We start from the raw sequence: 21,089 nt of genomic DNA, 5'->3' as shown, positions 1-21,089 counted from the left end.
TTGGTTCTCTCAATTTTTTGAGTTAATTTTGAGTTTTCAAGGAAAAATTTTTCCTTCCTGTAATTGCTGACCTTGGGGACCAATCACAGTGTTGTCTCCCCTAAACAACTGAACTGGTTGGTCTTAAAGGGTATTATAATTGTTTCCTCAAGAAAAGAGAAATTATAGTTGGTTACTGGTATTCTTTTTAGAACAACCTTAAACTGATTCTCTTGAAGGTTACCTTTAGGAGAGGGGCATTATGAAGCTGTATTATTGACAATAACAAGTTGGGAAAACGCAGAGAACCAGTGTAGAAGGTAGAACAAGAAGCTATGGACAAGTTGAGGACAATGTTTGATCCAGTGAGTACTCAGAACACAGGATCGAAACAGGGCAGTGTTGAAGACAAATGATGTAGTACAATTGAAAGAACATTAAACAAAGAACAAAGGGCAAGTTCTCAACCTGGCCCTGCCACTAATTAATTGTGACCTTAGACAAGGAGGAGCACTGAAGTCAAATAAAACATTCCTTTCAGTAAAGCACAGAGCTTGAGGAAGTGCTTGAGGAAGACTGAAATTCTCTGTCCAGGAGGGTAAACTATATTATTAGTAAATACCACAAATTTATCAGTCCATACAATTTCTAATTAGTGTTTCTGTTCTTTAGGGAGGCATGGGTAGAACAAATATATTAACTTATTTTTTAGACTACAGACATGCTTTAATTAAAAAAATCATAAAGTAATTATTTAATCCTAAAATGACATTTACAAACAAAAACCACTACATGATGTCTTGAGATAGGAATCTCATAGAGTATATTTTTAAAAAATCTGATTTGTGCATATTTCACAGAACATATTTATTGGGAAAAATGTGGGACCCACCTGTATTTCCAAGCAAAATAGCTACTTTTTTCTGGTAAAGTTGCCAATTGTGAGGCTGAAAATGCAAGTGTTGTTCTGTTAGGAGACAGAAGGATGGGCTACATGACCCTCAATCTACCCTTTCCAAATTTCTTTCTTTTTTGGAATATATAAAAACATAGTTATTTGTTATTTTCATCAACTTTATAAGATCCAATTTATTTCTATTTAGGTTACTACCAGAAGATGGCTGAGAGAACTTTACACTATTTCTCCCCTTCATGCCTGAAATACACTCCCTGAACATTTTTACTTGATAATTACAGGAAAGGTGTTTTTTTTTTTTTTTCCCTCTTTGCCTTGTGAGAATGTCAATAGCCTATCTAGCCAGAGTGATGTTAATATTTGGGGACATATTTCATGTTCCTTTATGAATCAAGGATTAGTCAGATGAGATTAATTAGTGTGTTGATTATTCAGGCCCCTTAACCTCTCTTCTTTTTTCTTCTTCTCCTCACCTCTTGGTTATTTCACTACTCATTAGCAGGCTTATCAAAGGATGAGCAGGGAGAGGAGGTGGAACTTAGCATTTTCTACCTTTTCCCAGAACTGGTTAAAAGTTTTAAGTGTGGGAGTAAGGAGGGTTGGGAAGAGAGGAAAAGTAAATTTTTAGCTGAAATAAGATTATTTTTTTATTACTCAGGGATCTTCATCATCGCAAGTGCAAAGGAAAGATGAATAATGTACTGTTGCCTTTACTTTTAAAAACAATGGTTTCATAAGAACAGCATACATTAGTTTATTTACCAAAGGTGAATCACTTAATACTATATAGAATACAGGACACAAAGCATAGAAACTTCTAAGCCTCACAATTGGCAACTTTACCAGAAAAAGTTACACAGACAACTGAAAGTATCTGTTGTCCACTTAGTAACTCCCATATGAGTAATAATGGAAACCTGATTCTAAAACTCCCACTCTCCTTACATGTATTTTCCTTCTAGAACATTTTTGAAGACTGGGATTGTTTTAAATTAGATCCTCCATTTTTCCCTTAGTTTTATTTATTTATTTATTTATTTATTTTAATTTTTCCTCCATTAGTCTCTAATAATGTTCTGTCTCTGCCTGATTTTACACTGGTAACCACACAATCAGATCTCTAGCTTGCTTTGCTGCCCACTCAAAAATTAATCAAAAATTGGGAAGATGCTGTTGTCAATATTCAATCTTAAGTGGAAGAATACAAGTGCTGTCTTCCATACTACTGTGTCCTAAACATGGACATGCTCCTAATTCCTCAAAGCACAGATTAGATTGTAATGTTTAACAAATTGTTCTTTAAGACTTGAGGATAACAGAATATTATCCTCATGAGTACCCGATACAGGGAAACTTCAAACTAGCTATACGTCCATCATAAATACCAACATTCTTTCCCACCATTCTGGGAAGACTTCAGGAAATCTGTGCTTTGAGAATTGTCAGCCTTCTGCACAGATCTAAAGTTGGAGAACTCTTTCTCATCCCCAGTCTAAGATTCAGTCTTCAGTTTCTATCCCCAAATCATTTCCATTTTAGGATTATCCATCCTCTCTCCATAGTAAGTCGTCTTTGTCTTTAGTCTCCAACAGTGCACTCACATTAGGGTGCATAGACTGACATAGTTTATTGTCCAAGATCTGAGATATCCTGTTTGGCATAAAAATTCATTAGACCACAAACACAAACTTAAGGTTAAGTTAAGCATTATTAAGTGCAGATCTATTTTTTATAGGTTGTCCTCTAGCTTGAGGAGAATATGAGATCTTGTAATCTTCAGGGTCTCAATTCCAATCTCCAGATGTTAATTGCTTCTACAAGGACACACACACACACGCACACATACACACACAGACAGGCACACACCCCTCCAATAAACAATAATCTCCAGAGGCATTGCCATGTAAATAATTTTTTCGAATATTTGTTGAAAGGATACAGGGACCTAGAAATGCATTATTTACCACAAAAAAGCCACTATCTCATATGACCATAGAGAGCATAGCAAACTTCTTAATTTCAGAAGAGGAACTTGCTTTGCATTTTCATGATTAGAAAAACTCACGATGATGGTTTTAAATCTCAAAGAAAGTTAGTACCCTAAAGGTGAATTCAAGCCTTTCACTCTTTTAAAGCTACAGCAACTGTGAGCCTTCAAAAGTGAAGTTATTTTTAACTTTCCATATCTCTTTAAAATTCAAAGACTTTTGGGGCAAATTTTCTTAAAACTTAAGGAATTTATATTTTTTCTGCTCAATCTTCTCCATAAAATAATTTCTCCCAAGCACCTATACCATAAATAAGAGCTTACCCTTGAGAGGGTAGTAGACAACCTACTTTCCCCTTCCCATATATAATGCCCATGCTCTCCTTGATTTAATCAAAATAGAAACACAAGTTAAAAACAGTTTGTTATAGCAACTTTGCTTTTGAGGTGTATATTTGAGTTTATTCCTATTTGACTTTAAGCTATATATCTATATTAACATTTGATCTCTTTCCTACTTTCTAGGCTGTCTTAAGCAATAATATCTTGGTCTCCTTCTTTCTTGGAATACAGGGCACCAATTTCAGTTTATTTCGGTCCTATTTTCCACTTCCCTTCCTTCAGTATAGTATCTCCTCTTCCTGTAATTGCTTATAGAAAATCACCCCTTTCTGATTCTACCTTGCCTTTTATAGTGATGGCATATAATGCTAGTCTGTCTTATTTGATTCTAATTAATATGCCTCCCAAATGTCTCTGGGTGATCTGACTTTTTAAGGAACTGGACTAATTGGAAGAGCCACCATAAATTACATACATTTACATCATTCAGTACCATATACAAGTTTGAAACATAAACTAATATCTTCATAAATCGCTTGGTACCTAGGGTTATGAATGAGGGAAAGAATTGATTACATTTGAGTTTTCTCCCTTTTCTCTTCCAAATGCTCTAGAAAAAATAAAGACACTTGCAGATTTTCTATTTTAGTAAAATAAAGATTATGTTCAAAGAGGCATCTAGATTTTGCAGCAACCTTTAAAAGATTAAATTCTCCTAATGAGCACCTTGGCCTGTGTTGTGGATTGAATTGCATCTTCACAAATTATTGCGCTGAAGTCCTAACCACTAGTACCTCAGAAAGTGATCTTATTTAGAAATAGGGTCATTGCAGATACAAATAGATGAGATGAGGTCATACTGGAGTAAGATGGGCCCCAATCCAATATCACTGGTATACTCATAAAAAGGAAAAGTTTGGACACAGAAGCACAGGGAGAATGTCATGTGAAGGTAAAGGCAGAGATTAGGTGATGCTTCTACACGTCAAGAAACACTAAAATCCCCACTGAATCACCAGAGGCATGGAACTGATGATTTCACAGCCCTCAGAAGGAACCAACCCTGTTGAGATCTTAATCCCAGATTTCTAGCTTATAGAATTGTGGGACAATAACTATCTGCTGTTTAAGTGACTCAGTATAGGGTACTTCATTATGGCCACCTGAAAATATGGTTGTCTTTGGCTGCCCATAGAAGAGATGATATGCATGACTAATAGACTCGTTTATGTTAAAGAGAGAAATTACCTCATGCTTCTCAGCAATGCCCCTAAGCCTTATAAACTGCTTTAATTCTTTCTACTCTCTGCTAACAATATGAGCTTTGCAAACATAGGCATTTGATTTATAGGAATAAAGCTTGATTAAAAGGCTGTGTCATAAATAATCACATGCACATTGGGCCAATATATAAGAAGAAGTTCATTGTTAATTTGGATAACTCTGACTTGGCTTCTTCAGGATAACACAGCACATAGCATGTACTGAAATAGAGGGAATTAGTACTGGGAACTAGTTACAAGGGTTGGGAGAGCTGAAAAGCAAAAAAAACAAGTTGGTGAGGAAGTGAAGACCTTTGTTACAGGAGAAAACACCACCATACATGGGACTGGGGAACCAAAGGAAGATGTGGTGTTACCGGAGCCTCAGAGTTAGGCCTGCTTGATCCCAAGTAGCTAAATGGCAGAGGATCTCCAGGGAAACTGGGCCCAGGGAGCGAAAACCTGTCCCTTGCGGATGTTGCTGCTGGAAGAGGCTGCCTGAGGAAGAGAGAGAAGATGAGCTATATCTTGGCCTCTCATTTCCTTCTGCCTTCCTATCTATTGCCATTGCCTCCTGATGGCTGGACTTATCTGTCAGCCAGCTGACACTGTGGCCTGGGAAATGTAGCTTGCTGTGGAAATGTAAGAAATATGTTTTTTTGGTCCAAAAAGCAAGTAACTGGCATGGCCAGCATTAAGAGATTTTCAGACATGGTGACAGTAATTGTCAGTGCTTCAAAAATGATAGCCAAATTTTGTTAAAAGTGAATTAGCACTTATTGAGTGCTTACTACACGCCAGACACAGTTTGATGTTTTAATATTTGCATACATTATCTCATTTATTCTATACAACAAACCTATGATGCAAGTACTATTAAGCATATTGAATAGAAAAAGATACTAAAGTGCAGAATATCTAAGTAGTTTATACATTATTATATTTCTAGTGGCTAAGCAGAACCAGGATGTGAAATGTGTTTTGTCTGACTCTAAATCAAAGCCCATACAAACTCTCTCCACCACTACACATCGTAGTTCATTAAACTGTGTACCAGGTTTGGAAGAGAAGGGTAGAGCATGGTAATAGATAGAAGAGGTAAGTGCTTGCTCATGAAAAGTGATAGCCTGAATAGGGACCACAAAAATGGGTCAGAGAGTTGAAAGACAAATTTGTGTAAGTGCAAGAAATGCCAGGTAGCAGACTGAGATGGAGACTTAGTACAAATGGGCAAGCATTCTTTAAAAATTAATAAACTGGGCTAGGTACAGTGGCGCATGCCTATAATCCCAGCACTTTCGGAGGCTGAGGGGGGCGGATCACTTGAGGTCAGGAGTTTGAAACCAGCCTGGCCAACATGGTGAAATCCCATCTCTACTAAAAATCCAAAAAATCCAAAAAAAAAAAAAAAAAATTAGCCAGGCAAGGTGGTGGACACCTGTAATCTCAGCTACTGGAGAGGCTGAGGCAGGAGAATTTCTTGAACCTAGGAGGCAGAGGTTACAGTGAGCCAAGATTACACCACTGCATTCCAGCCTGGATGACAAAGCAAGACTCCATCTCAAATAGTAATAATAATAATAATAATAACAATAATAATAATAATATTAAACTCTATTTCCAGAGCAGTTTTAGGTTCACAGCAAAATTGAGTGGAAAAATACAGAGTTCCCACATACTCCCTGTTGCCATGCATGTACAACCTACCTCCTATCAGCATTCCTCAACAGGGTGGCATACACAATTAATTAACTTACATTGACACATCATTATTACCCAAAGTCTATAGTTTATATTAGGGTTTATTTTTGGTGTTGTTCATTCGGGGAGTTTGGCAAATGTATAGTGACATGTATTCACCATTGTAATATCATACAGAAGAGTTTTGCTGTCATAAAAATCCTCTGTGCTCAGCCTATTTATCTCTTTCTCCCTAATCTTTTTACCAATCACTAATATTTTTATACTGTTTCCATAATTTTGTCTTTCCCAGAATGTGATATAGTTGGAATATATGAAATGTAGCCTTTTCAGGATTGGTTTCTTTCACTTAGTAACATGCATTTAAGTTTCCTCTATGTTTTTCATGGCTTGATAATTCATTTCTTTTTTAGTACTGAATAATATTCTGGTCTGGATAAATCAGTTTATTTATCTACTCAATTACTGAAGGACATCTTGGTGGCTTCCAGGTTTTGGCAAGTACAATTAAAGTTTCTATAAACATTGTGGGTGGGTTTTCATGTAGGCATAAGTTTTCAGCTCCTTTGGGTAATAACAAGGAATGAGATTGCTGGATTGTGCGGTAAGGATACGTTTAGATTTGTAGGAAGCTGTCAAAACTGTCTTTGTTGAACATGGCTGTACCATTTTGCATATATACTAGTAAAGAATGGGAGTTCATGCTCTCCGTATCCTAGCCAGCATTTAGTGTGGCCAGTGTTCTGAAGTTTCACCATTCTAGTAGTTGTGTAGTGGTCTCTCATTGTTTTAATTTGCAAATCCCTAAGGACATACGATGTTGAACATCTTTTCATAAGTTTAATTGGCATCTGTATATCTTCTTTGGTGAGAAGTCTGTTAAGGTCTTTGGCCTATTTTATAGTTGGGTTGTCCATTTTCTTATTGTTGAGTTTTAAGAGTTCTTTGTATGTTTTGAATAATATTCTGTTATTAGACATTTCTTTTGCAAATGTTTTTTCCTAATCTGGCTTGTTTTCTCATTCTGTTAACATTGTCTTTCACAGAGTAGAGGTTTTAATTTTAGTGAAATCTAGTTTATCAATTCTTTCTTTCATGGATCATGCCTTTGGTGTTGTATCTAAAAAGTGATTTGCCTATGTTTGCAATGTCAGGTCCATTAAAAATATAAAAAAATACACCAGGTAATTTAGGACTTTAAAAAATATTGTCTTCTATGGTTTTTGCATTTTATATTTAGGTCTATGAGTCTATGTTCACTTATAATTATTTTTTTGTAAAGGATCCAAGGTCTGTGTCTAGATTCTTTTTTTCTTTTTTGCATGTGGATGTTGGTTTTTCCACACTATTGCTGAAAAACTGTCTTTGCTCCATTTTATTGCCTTTGTTCCTTTGTCAAAGATCAGTTGACTTTGTTTACATATAGGTCTGTTTCTGGGTTCTGTATTCTGCTCTGTTGATTGATTTCTGTATTCTTTCACCCATACCACACTGTCTTAATTACTCTATTTTATAGTAAGTCAATATTTATTCTCTTTGAAGCAATTGTGAATGGGAGTTCACTCATGATTTGGATCTCTGTTTGTCTGTTATTGGTGTATAAGAATGCTTGTGATGTTTGCACATTGATTTTGTATCCTGAGACTTTACTGAAGTTGCTTATCAGCTTAAGGAGTTTTTGGGCTGAGACGTGGGGTTTTCTAAGTATAGAATCATGTCATCTGCAAACAGAGATAATTCAACTTCTGATATGGTTTGGCTGTGTCCCCACCCAAACCTCAACTTGAAATGTATTTCCCAGAGTTCTCACGTATTGTGGGAGGGACCCAGGGAGAGGTAATTGAATCATGGGGGCTGGTCATTCTCATGCTATTCTTGTGATAGTGAATAAGTCTCACAAGATCTGATGGGCTTATCAGGGGTTTCTGCTTTTGCTTCTTCTTCATTTTTCTCTGCCATGTAAGAAGTGACTTTCACCTCCCACCATGATTCTGAGGCCTCCCCAGCCATGAGGAACAGTAAGTCCAATTAAACCTCTTTTCTTTATCAGGAATGTCTTTATCAGAAGCAAGAAAACACACTAATTACAACTTCCTCTCTTCCTATTTATTTCTTTCTCTTGCCTCATTGGCCTGCCCAGAACTTCCAATACTATGTTGATTAGGAGCGGTGAGAGGGGGCACCCTTGTCTTGTGCCAGTTTTCAAAGTGAATGCTTCCAGCTTTTGCCTATTCAGTATGATATTAGCTGTGGGTTTGTCATAAATAGCTTTTATTATTTTGAGATATTTTTCGAGATATTTTTCATCAATACCTAGTTTATTGAGAAGTTTTAACATGAAAAGATGTTGAATTATATTGAAGGCCTTTTCTGCATTTATTGAGATAATCATGTGTTTTTGTCACTAGTTCTGTTTATGTGATGGATTACATTTATTGATTTGTGTATGTTGAACCAGCCTTGCATCCCTGGGATGAGGCTGACTTGATCGTGGTGGATAAGCTTTTTGATGTGCTGCTGGATTTGGTTTGCCAGTATTTTCTTGAGGAATTTTTCATTGATGTTCATCAGGGATATTGGCCTGAAGTTTTCTTTTTTTGTTGTGTCTCTGCCAGGTTTTAGTATCAAGATGATGCTGGCCTCATAAAATCAGTTAGGGAGGAGTCCATCCTTTCAATTGTTTGGAATAGTTTCAGAAGGAATGGTACCAGCTCCTCTTTGTATCTCTGGTAGAATTCAGCTGTGAATTGGTCTGTTTCTGGGCTTTTCTTTGGTTGGTAGGCCCTTTTTCACTGCCTCAATTTCAGAACTTGTCATTGACCTATTCAGAGATTCAACTTTTTTCTGGTTTAGTCTTGGGAGAGTGTATGTATCTAGGAATTTATCAATTTCTTCTAGATTTTCTAGTTTATTTGTGTAGAGGTGTTTATAGCATTCTCTGATGGTAGTTTGTATTTCTTCAGGGTCAGTGGTGATATCCCCTTTATCATCTTTTATTGTGTCTATTTGATTCTTCTCTCTTTTCCTATTTATTAGCCTAGCTAGTAGTCTATCTATTTTATTAATTTTTTTCAAAAAACCAAGCTCCTGGATTCATTGATTTTTGAAGGATTTTTTTTTTTATCTCTATCTTCTTCAGTTCTGCTCTTATCTTAGTTATTTCTTGTCTTCTGCTAGCTTTTGGATTTGTTTGCTCTTGCTTCTCTAGTTTTTTTTATTGTGATGTGAGGGTGTTGATTTGAGATCTCTCTAGCTTTCTGATGTGGGCACATAGTGCTATAAATTTCCCTCTTAACACTGCTTTTGCTGTGTCCCAGAAATTCTGGTGCATTGTCTTTTTGTTCTAATTGGTTTTAAAGAATTTCTTGATTTCTGCCTTAATTTCATTATTTACCCCGGAGTCATTGAGGAGCAGGTTGTTCAATTTCCATGTGGTTGTGTGGTTTTCAGTGAGTTTCTTAATCCTGAGTTCTAATTTGATTGCACTGTGGTCTGACAGACTGTTTGTTATGATTTTAGTTCTTTTGTATTTGCGAAGGAGTGTTTTACTTCCACTTATGTGGTCAATTTTAAAGTGCCATGTGGCACCGAGAAGAATGTATATTCTGTTGTTTTGGGGTGGAGAGTTCTGTAGATATCTATTAGGTCCACTTGTTCCAGAGCTGAGTTCAAGTCCTAAATATCCTTGTTAATTTTCAGTCTCATTGATCTGTCTAATATTGACAGTGGGGTGTTAAAGTCTCCCACTATTATTGTGTGGGAGTCTAAGTCTCATTTACATTTGAGGTTATTTATGTTTGAATTAAATCCTGTCATCATGACGCTAGCTGGTTATTTTGCACAGTAGTTGATGCTGTTTCTTCATAGTGTCATTGGTCTTTATATTTTTGAGTGTTTTGCAGTGTCTGGTACCAGTTTTTCATTTTCATATTTAGTGCTTTCTTCAGGAGCTCTTGCAAGGCAGGCATGGTGGTGACGAATTTCCTCAGCATTTTCTTGTCTGTAAAGGATTTTATTTCTCCTTTGCTTATGAAGCTTAGTTTGGCTGGATATGAAATTCTAGGTTGAAAATTCTTTTCTTTAAGAATGTTGAATATTGGCCCCCACACTCTTCTGGCTTTAGTGTTTCTGCTGAGAGATCTGCTGTTAGTCTGATGAGCTTCCCTTTGTAGGTGACTCACCTTTCTCTCTGGCTGCACTTAACATTTTTTCCTTTATTTTGACCTTGGTGAATATGATGATGTGTCTTGGGTTGATCTTCTTGTGGAGGATCTTAGTGGTGTTCTCTGTATTTCCTGAATTTGAATATTGGGCTGTCTTGCTAGGTTGGGGAAGTTCTTCTGGTTAATATTCTGAAGTGTGTTTTCGAACTTGGTTCCATTCTCCCTGTCTCTTTCAGGTACTCCAATCAGTTGTAGGTGCAGTCTTTTTTACATAGTCCCATATTTATCGGAGGTTTTCTTCATTCCTTTTCATTCTGTTTTCTCTAATCTTCTCTGCCTGCCTTATGTCAGCAGGATAGTCTTCCATCTCCAATATTCTTTCTTCTGCTTGATCAATTTGACTATTGACAATTGTGTATGCTTCATGATGTTCTTGTGCTGTGTTTTTCAGCTCCATCAGATCATTTATGTTCCTCTCTAAAGTGGTTATTCTAGTTCACAGCTCCTCTAAACTTTAACAAGGTTCTTAGCTTCTTTGCATTGGTTTAGAACATGCTCCTTTACCTCAGTGACCTTTGTTATTACCCACCTTCTGAAGTCTACTTCCATCAATTTGTCCATCTCATCCTCTGTCCTGTTCTGCACCCTTGCTAGAGAAGTGTTGCTATCATTTGGAGGAGAAGAAGCACTCTGGTCTTTTGGGTCTTTGCATTGTTTTCATTGATTCTTTCTCATCTTTGTGAGTTTGTCTAATTTCAATCTTTGAGGCTGCTGACCCTTAAATGAGGTTTTTGTGGGGACTTTTTTTGTTGATACTGTTGCTGCCTTCTGTTTATTTGTTTTTCTTTCAATAGTCAGGTCTCTCTTCCGTATGGCTATTGTGGTTTGCTGGGGGCTCACCTAAAACCCTATTCATACGGTTCCCTCCTGTGTCTGGAGATACCATCCGAGGAGGCTGGAGAAGAGCAAAGACGGGTGCCTGCTCCTTCCTCTGGGATCTCTGACCTTGAGGGGCACCGACCTGATGCCAGTAGGGACACTCCTGTATAGGATGTCTGACAACCCCTGTTGGTGAGTCTTACCAAGTTGGCGAGGGCACAGAAAGCAGGACCCATTTAATGAAGCACTTTGGCTGTCTCTTGGTGTAGGGGGTGCGCAGTGCTGAGGGAAAACCCACTTGTTTTGGATGCCTGGATTCTTCAGAGCTAGCAGAGGAAAGACTAAGTCTGCTGGTCTGTGGAGACTACAGCCACCCCTCCCCGTAGAGGCTCAGGCCCAGGGAGGTCAGAGTTCTGTCCTTGAGCCCCTGGCTGGAGTTGGAAATCCTGCAGAGAGGCCCTGCAGCCACAATGTTGGCTGCTGCCCTTCTCCAAGGAGCTCAAATGGCTTAGACATCACAACCAGAGCAGTGGTGATGGCTGCCCCTCCCCCGGGGCACCCAGCTGGCTTAGGCTGATTCTAGTTGAGTGAGAATCTGTGTGGCTTCATGGTAGGGACCCAAGGCCCTGGTGGCACGGGCTCATGAGTGGGATCTTCCGATCCATTGGTTGCACCGTTCTGTGGAAAAAGCAGTTTCCCGGGCTGGGTAGCACACACACTCACCACCTCCCTTGGCTGGGGGTGGGAGCTCCCCTGCCCCCGCGTGGCTTTCAGGTGGGCTGCCGCACCACTCTGCTCTTCCTTCCTCTCCGTGGGTTATGCCAGCTGCCTAGTCAGTCCTAATATCAGAACCTGTATATCTTGGTTGCCAGTGCAGGATTCACATACTGCTTTGGATTTTTTCCATGGGAGTCCCCGATCACTGCTGCTTTTAGTCAGCTATCTTGGCTCTGCTTCCCTTTCTTGATTTTACCATTAATGGGAACCTAGGTTGATTCTACGTCTTTGCAATTGTGAATAATGCCACCACAATGAACATTTGATTGTATGTGTCTTTTGGTAGAATGATTTATTTTCTTTTGGGTATTTACCCAGTAATGGGATTGCTGGGTCGAACAGTAGTTCTGTTTTAATTTCTTTGAGAAACCACCAAACTGCTTTCCACAGTGGCTGAACTCATTTACATTCCCAACAACAATGCATAAGCATTCCCTTTTTTCCTCAGCCTTGCCAGCATCTGTTGTTTTTTGCCTTTTATAATAGCCATTCTGACTGGTGTGAGATGTTATCTCATTGTGGTTTTGATGTGCACTTTGATGATTAATGATGTTGAGCTTATTTCACATGTTTGTCAGCCATTTGCGTGTCTTCTTTTGAGAAGTGTCTGTTCATGTCTTTTGCCCTTTCTTTAATGGGATTATTGGTTTTTTTCCTTATTGAATTGAACTTCCTTATAGAATCTGGATGTTAGACCTTTGTTGGATGTGTAGTTTGTGAATATTTTCTCCCGTTCTGTAGGTTGTCTGTTTATTCTGTTGATAGTTTTTTTTACTGTGCAAAAGCTCCATAATGTAATAGGTCCCACTTGTTAACTTTTGCTTTTGTTGCTATTGTTTCCGAGGACTTAGTCATAATTCCTTTCACAGGCTAAAGTCCAGAATGATGTTCCTTAGAGTTTCTTCTAGGATTTTTATAGTTTGAGGTCTTACATTTAAATATTTAATGCACCTTGAGTTAATTTTTATAGAAGGTGATAGGTAGGGGTTTAGTTTCATTCTTGTGCATATGAATAGCCAGCTGTTCAAGCACCATTTTTAAAAATGTTTATTTTAAGTATCTGTGCAGGTTTATTATATAAACTTGTGTCAAGGGAGTTAGTTGTATGGATTGTTTGGTCTAGGTATTAAACCTAGTACTCTTTAGTTATTTTTCCTGATCCTCTTCCTCATTCCACCCTCCACCCTCACGTAACCCTCAGTATCTGTTGTTTCCCTCTATGTGTTCATGTGTTCTCATCATTTAGCTCCTACTTATAAGTAAGAACATGCAGTATTTCATTTTCTGTTCCTGCATTAGTTTACTAAAGATAATGGCCTCCAGCTCCATCCATGTTCCTGCAAAGGATATGATCTTGTTCTTTTTCATGGCTGCACAGTATTCCATGGTGTATGTGTACCACATTTTCTTTATCCAGTCTACCATAGTTGGGCATTTAGGTTGACTCCATGTCTTTGCTATTGTGAATAGTGTTGCAGTGAACATATGCATGCATGTGTGTAATAGCCATTCTGGCTGTTAAAAAGTAAATAATAGATGCTGGTGAGATTGTAGAGAAAAAGGAACATTTATACACTGTTGGTGGGAGTGTAAATTAGTTCAACCACTGTGGAAGACAGTGTGGTGATTCCTCAAAAACCTAAAGACAGAAATACCATTCGATCCAGCAATCCCATTCCTGGGTATATATCCAAAGGAATATAAATTATTCTATCATAAAGACACACACACACACACATATGTTCACTGCAGCACTATTCACAATAGCAAAGACATAGTATCAACCCAAATACCCATCAATGATAGACTGGATAAAGAAAATGTGATACATATACACCACGGAACCCTATGTAGCCATAAAAAAGAATGAGATCATATCCTTTGCAGGAACCTGTATAGGGCTGGAGGCCATTATCCTTAGCAAACTAATGCAAGGACAGAAAAGCAAATATCACATGTTCTTATATATAAAGTGGAAGCTAAATGTTGAGAACACATTGATATACAGAAGGGAAAAACACACACTGGGGCCTAACAAAGGATGGAGAGGATAAGGAAAAATAACTAATGGATACTAGGTTTAATACCTGGGTGATGAAATAATCTGTATAACACACCCCCATGACACAAGTTTACCTATATAACAAACCTGCAAATCCTGCACATGTACCCCTGAATTTAACATAAAAGTTTAAAAAATAGCCATTTTGACTGGTGTGAGATGGTATCTCATTGTGGTTTCGATTTGCATTTCTCTAATGATCAGTGATATTGAATTTGTTTCATATGCTTGTTGGCTGCAATTATGTCTTCTTTTGAAAAATGTCTGTTTCATAGACCAATGGAACAGAATAGAGATCTCAGAAATAAGACCACACATCTTCAACCATCTGATCTTCGACAAACCTGATGAAAACAAGCAGTTGGGTAAAGATTCTCTATTTAATAAATGGTTCTGGGTAAACTGGCTAGCCATATGCAGAAAATTGATACTGTACCCCTTCCTTACACATTATACAACAACTAACTCAAGATGGATTAAAGACTTAAATGTAAAACCCAAAACTGTAAAAACCCTAGAAGAAAATCTAGGCAATAACATTCAGGACATAGGCATGGGCAAAGATTTTGTGACAAAAATATCAAAAGCAATTGCAACAAAAGCAAAAATTGACAAATGGGATATAATTAACCTAAAGAGCTTCTACACAGCAAAAGAAACTCTCATTAGAGTGAACAGACAACCTATGGAATGGGAGAAAATTTTTGCAATCTATCCATCTGACAAAAAGCTAATATCTAGAATCTACAAGGAACTTAAATTTACAAGAAAAAAACCACCCCATCAAAAAGTGGGGATGTAAACAGACATGTCTCAAAAGAAGACATTTATGCAACCCACAAACATGAATAAAAGCTCAACATCATTGATCATTAGAGAGCAGCAAATCAGAAACACAATGAGATACCATCTCACACCAGTTAGAATGGCAATTATTTGAAAGTCAAGAAATAACAGATGTTGGTGAGGCTGGGAAGAAATAGGAATGCTTTTACATTGTTGGTGGGAGTGTAAATTATTTCAGCCATTGTAGAAGACAGTGTGGCGATTCCTCAAGTATCTAGAACCAGAAATATCATTTGACCCAGCAATCCCATTACTGAGTATATACCCAAAGGAATACAAATCATTCTATTATAAAGATATGTGCATACATATATTTATTGCAGCACTATTCACAATGGCAAAGATATGGAATCAACCCAGATGCCCATCAATGATAGACTGGATAAAGAAAATGTGGTACATATACACCATGGAATACTATGCAGCCATAGAAAGGAATGTGTTCATGTCCTTTGCAGGGACATGGATAGAGCTGGAAGCCATTATCCTCAGCAAACTAATACAGGAACAGAAAACCATACACCATGTGTTCTCACTCATAAGTGGGAGCTGAACAATGAGAACACATGGACATGGGGGAAGTGGGGAACAATACACAATGGGGCCTGTTGGGGGGCTAGGGGGATGAGAAGCTTCAGGACAAATAGCTAATGCATGTGGGGCTTAAAACCTAGGTGATGGGTTGATAGGTGCAACATACCACCATGGCACACATTTACCTATGTAACAAACCTGGACGTCCTGCACATGTATCCCAGAAAACTTAAAATAAAATTTTAGAAAAAAGCACATCAAAAAGAAAAGAAAAGAAAAGTGTCTGTTCATGCCTTTTGTCCACTTTTAATGGGTTTGTTTGCTTTTCTTGCAGATTTGTTTCAGTTTCTTATAGATGCTGGATATTAGACCTTTGTCAGATGCATAGTTTGCAGAAATTTTCTCCTATACTGTAGGTTTTCTGTTTACTTGATTGATTATTGTTTTTCCTGTGCAGAAGCTCTTTAATTTAATTATATCCCGTTTGTCAAATTTTGTTTTAGTTGTGATGGCTTTTGGCTTCCTGCCATGAAATCTTTGCCAGTTCCTATGTCCAAGATGGTATTGCCTAGGTTATCTTCCAGGGTTTTTATAGTTTTGGGTTTTACTTTTAAGTTTTTAATTCATGTTGAGTTGATTTTTGTACATGGTATGAGGAAGGAGTCCACTTTCAATCTTCTGCATATGGCTAACAAGTTATCCGAGCATCATTTATTGAATAAAGAGTCCTTCCCTATTGCTTGTTTTTGTCAGGTTTGTCAAAGATCAGATGGTTGTAGGTGTGCAGCCTTATTTCTGGGCTCTCTATTCTGTTGCACTGGTCTATGTGTCTGTTTTTTAGTACCAGTACCATGCTGTTTTGGTTACTGTAGCCCTGTAGTGTAGTATGAATTCAAGTGACATTATGCCTAAAGCTTTTTTTTTTCAGCACCATTTTTTGAATAAGGAGTTCTTTGTCTATTGCTTATTTTTGTTGACTCTGCCAAAGTTCAAATTGTTGTAGGTGTGCAGCTTTATTTCTGGGCTTTCTATCCTGTTTCATTGGTCTATGTGTCTGGGCTTTTTTCAAACCAGTATCATGCTGTTTTGTTTACTGTAGCCTTATAATACAGTTTGAAGTCAAGTAATGTGATTCCTCCAGCTTTGTTCTTTTTGCTGAGGATTGCTTTGGCTCTTTGGGCTCTTTTTTGGTTCCATATGAACTTTAGAATGTGTTTTCTCCAGTTCTGTGAAAAATGACATTGGTAGTTTGATAGGAATAATGTTGAATCTGTAGATTGCTTTGGACGGGATGGCTATTTTAACAATATTGATTCTTACAATCTATGAGCATGGAATGTTTTTAGATTTGGTCGAGTTATCTATGATTTTTTTCAGGAGTGTTTTGTAGCTCTGCTTGTAGAGAGCTTTCAATTCCTTGATTAGATGTATTCCTAGATATGTGTGTGTGTGTGTGTGTGTGTGTGTGTGTGTGTGTGTGTGTCTATTGTAAATGGAACTGCATTCTTGATTTGGCTCTGAGCTTGAATGATATTGCTATACAGAAGTGCTATTGATTTTTATACATTGACTTTATTTCCCAAAACTTTACTGAAGTTGTTCATTAACTCAGGAGCCTTTTGGTGGAATTTTCAGGGTTTTCTAGGTATAGAATCCTATTATCAGCGAAGAGAGATAGTTTGACTTCTTTTTTTCCTATTTCGATATCTTTTATTTCTTTCTCTTGCCTAATTGCTCTGGCTAAGACTTCCTGGTTTCCTGTTTTAAATTATATGTATTTCTGCTCTAATTTTTATTATTTCTTTTTTATGTTTACTTTGGATTTTATTTGCTCTTTTTCTTTCTAGTTTTTTTGAGGTAGAAGCTTAGCTTGTTGACTTTAGATCTTTCTTCTTTTCTACTATACACATTCAAGGCTATAAATTTCCCTTTAAACACTGCCTTTACTGTATCCCACATATTTTAATAAATTGCATATATATTTAGTGAATAATCTTTTAAAATTTCTTTCGAGATTTCTTCTTTGATCATGTGTTATTAAGAAGTGTGTTGCTTAGTGTTCAAGTACTTTGAGATTTTTCAGCTATCATTCATACTGAATTGAGTTCTGTGCTGTTTTTTTGTTTTTTTTTTTGACAGAATCTCGCTCTGTCACCCAGGCTGGAGTGCAGTGGCATGATCTCGGCTGACTGCAGCCTCTGCCTCCCAGGTTCAAGCGATTCTTCTGCCTCAGCCTCCCAAGTAGCTGGGACTACAGGCATGTGCCACCAGGCTAGATAATTTTTGTATTTTTAGTAGAGATGGGGTTTCACCATATTGGCCAGGCTGGTCTTGAACCCCTGACCTCATGATCTGCCCACCTCGGCCTCCCGAAGTGCTGGGATTACAGTTGTGGGCCAACGCACCCAGCCAAGTTGTGTTTTATAACCTAGAATGTCGTCTCTCTTGGTGAATGTTCCATGTAAGGTGAGATTAGTGTTTAATCTGTTTTTGGGTGAAGTAGTCTATAGATGTCAATTGCATCTAGTTGATTGCTGCTGAGTTCAACTATGTCTTACTTTCTGCTTACTGAACCTGCCCATTTCTAATAGGTAGTGAAGACTCTGAGCAATAGTGGATTAATCTATTTCTCCTTGCAGTTCTATTAATTTTTGCCTCATGTATTTTGACATTCTGTTTTTAGGCACACACACATTAAGAATTGCTATGTTTCGGCCAGGCGCGGTGGCTCACGCCTGTAATCCCAGCACTTTGGGAGGCCGAGGCGGGCGGATCACGAGGTCAGGAGATCGAGACCATCCCGGCTAAAAAAAAACGGTGAAACCCCGTCTCTACTAAAAATACAAAAAATTAGCCGGGTGTAGTGGCGGGCGCCTGTAGTCCCAGCTACTTGGGAGGCTGAGGCAGGAGAATGGCATGAACCCGGGAGGCGGAGCTTGCAGTGAGCCGAGATCCCGCCACTGCACTCCAGCCTGGGCGACAGAGCGAGACTCCGTCTCAAAAAAAAAAAAAAAAAAGAATTGCTATGTTTCTTTGGATAATTAACTGATATTTCATTATGTTATGCTTCTGTTTAACCCTGATAACTTTCATTGCTCTGATGTCTGCTCTACTCGAAATTAATATAGCCAATATGCCTTTCTTTTGATTTTTGTTAGCATGGCATATTTTTCTCCATCCCTTTACTTTTAATCTATATGTGTCTTTGTATTTAATGTGGGTTTCTTGTAGACAACATATAGTTGGATGTTGTTTTTTTTGATACACACTGACAATCTCTGTCTTTTATTTGGCATATTTGGATTTTTGGTATTTCAGGTGGATTATGTAAAGAGACTGAATCTATGACTGACTGGTGCACCTGAAAGAGATCTCATGGATATCATCCATGAGAACTTCCCCAATCTAGCTAGACAGGCCAACATTCAAATTCAGGAAATCCAGAGAACCCCAGAAAGATGCTCTATGAGAAGGTCATCTTTAAGACACATAATCTTCACATTCTTCAAGGTCAAAGTGAATGAAAAAATGTTAAGGGCAGCCAGAGAGAAAGACCAGGTCACCTACAAGGAGAAGCCCAACAGACTAACAGCAGACCTCTCAGCAGAAACCCTATAAGCCAGAAGAGATTGAGGGCCAATATTCAACATTCTTAAAGAAAAGAATTTACAACCCCAAATTTTGTATCCAGCCAAACTAAGCTTTATCAGTGAAGGGGAAATAAGATCCTTTTCAGACAAGCAAATGCTGAGGGAATTTGTTACCACCATGCCTGCCTTGCAGGAGCTCCTGAAGGAAGCACTAAATGTGCAAAGGAAAAATTGTTACCAGCCACTACAAAAACACACTGAAATACACAGACCAATGGCACTATGAAGCAACTGCATAAACAAGTCTGCAAAATAATCAGCCAGCATCATGATGACAGGATGCAAAATAATCAGCTAGCATCATGATGACACATAACAATACTAACCTTAAAAGCAAATGGCTAACTGCCTGGATTAAAAGACATGGAATAGCAAGCTGGATAAAGAACCAAGATCCATTGGTATGCAGTCTTCAAGAGATCCCTTTCACATGCAATGACAGACATAGGCTCAAAATAAAGGGATTGAGGAAAACTTATCAATTAAATGGATAGCAGAAAAAAGCAGGGTTTGCAATCCTAGTTTCTGACAAAGCAGACTTTAGACTGACAAAGATCAAAAAAGACAAAGAAGGGCATTACATAATGGTAAAGGGTTCAGTTCAACAAGAAGAGCTAACTATCCTAAATATATATATGCACCCAACACAGGAGTACCCAGATTGATAAGGCAAGTTCTTAGAGACCTTCACATGAGGTTTTGTTCATTCCATTTCCTTCTTTTTTCTCTATTCTTGCCTGCCTGTCTTATTTCAGAAGGACAGTCTTTAAGCTCTGAGATTCTTTTCTCCACTTGGCCTATTCTGCTATTAATACTTGTGATTGCATTATGAAATTTTTATAGTGTGTTTCTCAGCTTTATCAGATTGGTTACATTCTTCCTTGTACTAGATATTTTGTCTGTCAGCTCCCACAATGTTTTATCATGGTTTTTAGCTTCCATGTATTGGGTTACAATGTGCTACTTTAGCTCAGTGAAGTTCATTTCTATCCACATTCTGAATTCTATTTCTGTCATTTTAGCCATCTCAGCCTCAGCCCAGTTCTGATCCCTTACTGGAGAGGTGATGTAGTCATTGGAGAAAAAAGGGCACTCTGGCTTTTTGAGTTTTCAGCCTTCTCCTGCTGATTCTTTCTCACCTTTCTGGGCTTATATACATTAAATCTTTGAGGTTCTTTACCTTTAGTATTTTTTCTTTTAACAGTCTGGACAATTTTCTATAGGGCTGCTGTGGTTTGCTGGGGCTCCACTACAGACCCTAGTCACCTCAGATTTCCCAGTACTTGGAGGTATCACTAGTGAAGGCTGTGAAACCGTGAAGAGGGCAGCCTGTCCTTTCCTCATCCCAGGGGGATATGAACATGTTGCCAGCCTGAATACACTTACAGGAGTTGGCTGGGGACCCCTGTTGGGAGGTCTCACTCAGTCTGGAGCAACAGGATCGGGGATTCGCTTAAAGATGCCATATAGCTATGCTTTTGTAGAGCAACTGTGCTGTGATGGGGTACTTCTTCTGCCCCCAGTTGGCTTGGGTGCTCCAAAGCTTGGAGGCTGAAACAGCTAAGTCATGGAAACAGCAAAGATGGCAACTTGTCATTCCCTCTAGAAGCTCTGTCCCAGGAAGTTTTCAAAAGAGAACATCAGCAGGAATGGCTGGAGGCCCCAGTTGGGAGGTTCTGCCCAGTGAAGATGAATGGATCTGGGACGCACTTAAAGAAGCAGTCTGGTCACATTTTGGTAGAGCAGCTGTGCTATGCTGCAGGATCCTTTCCACCCCGAGTCAGTTTGGACTCTCCAAAGCCCACAGGCCGGAACAGCTGAATCACCCAAATAGCAAAGATGGTGGCCTGTCTCTCATCCTGGGAAACCCATCTGTCTCAGTTGTTGCTGGTGGCTGGCTGGAATTCTAAACCAGTGGGTCTAATCCTGTGAGGCACCATGGAAGTGGGACCTACAGACTGTCACTGCTAGGCCTCCTGGATTCAGCCCTC

The 21,089-nt window shown here is 38.4% G+C and overlaps 1 long non-coding RNA gene across 2 annotated transcripts in view, besides 3 other annotated features; it reads left to right on the top strand.

Annotated features, from left to right (window-relative positions):
- LINC01876 (long intergenic non-protein coding RNA 1876) overlaps window positions 1–21,089 on the top strand; it is a 234,397-nt gene that overhangs the window by 195,365 nt on the left and 17,943 nt on the right. The window lies entirely within an intron of this gene.
- Window positions 7,854–8,054: a silencer, noted in NCBI's record as "peak3906 fragment used in MPRA reporter construct". NCBI's record gives its function as "represses an SCP1 promoter by STARR-seq MPRAs in K562 erythroleukemia cells {active_cell/tissue: K562}" and the evidence as "EXISTENCE:reporter gene assay evidence [ECO:0000049][PMID:32103011]".
- Window positions 10,304–10,504: a silencer, noted in NCBI's record as "peak3905 fragment used in MPRA reporter construct". NCBI's record gives its function as "represses an SCP1 promoter by STARR-seq MPRAs in K562 erythroleukemia cells {active_cell/tissue: K562}" and the evidence as "EXISTENCE:reporter gene assay evidence [ECO:0000049][PMID:32103011]".
- Window positions 11,807–12,307: an enhancer, noted in NCBI's record as "H3K4me1 hESC enhancer chr2:156903772-156904272 (GRCh37/hg19 assembly coordinates)". NCBI's record gives its function as "activates a minimal SCP1, AML or CMV promoter by ChIP-STARR-seq in naive H9 embryonic stem cells {active_cell/tissue: H9 hESC(naive)}" and the evidence as "EXISTENCE:reporter gene assay evidence [ECO:0000049][PMID:30033119]".

This window comes from Homo sapiens, chromosome 2 (genome assembly GCF_000001405.40).
Source record: "Homo sapiens chromosome 2, GRCh38.p14 Primary Assembly".
Lineage (NCBI taxonomy): Eukaryota > Metazoa > Chordata > Mammalia > Primates > Hominidae > Homo > Homo sapiens.
Note: the sequence above shows the minus strand (reverse complement) of the source record. Positions and strands in the feature narration are given on the sequence as shown.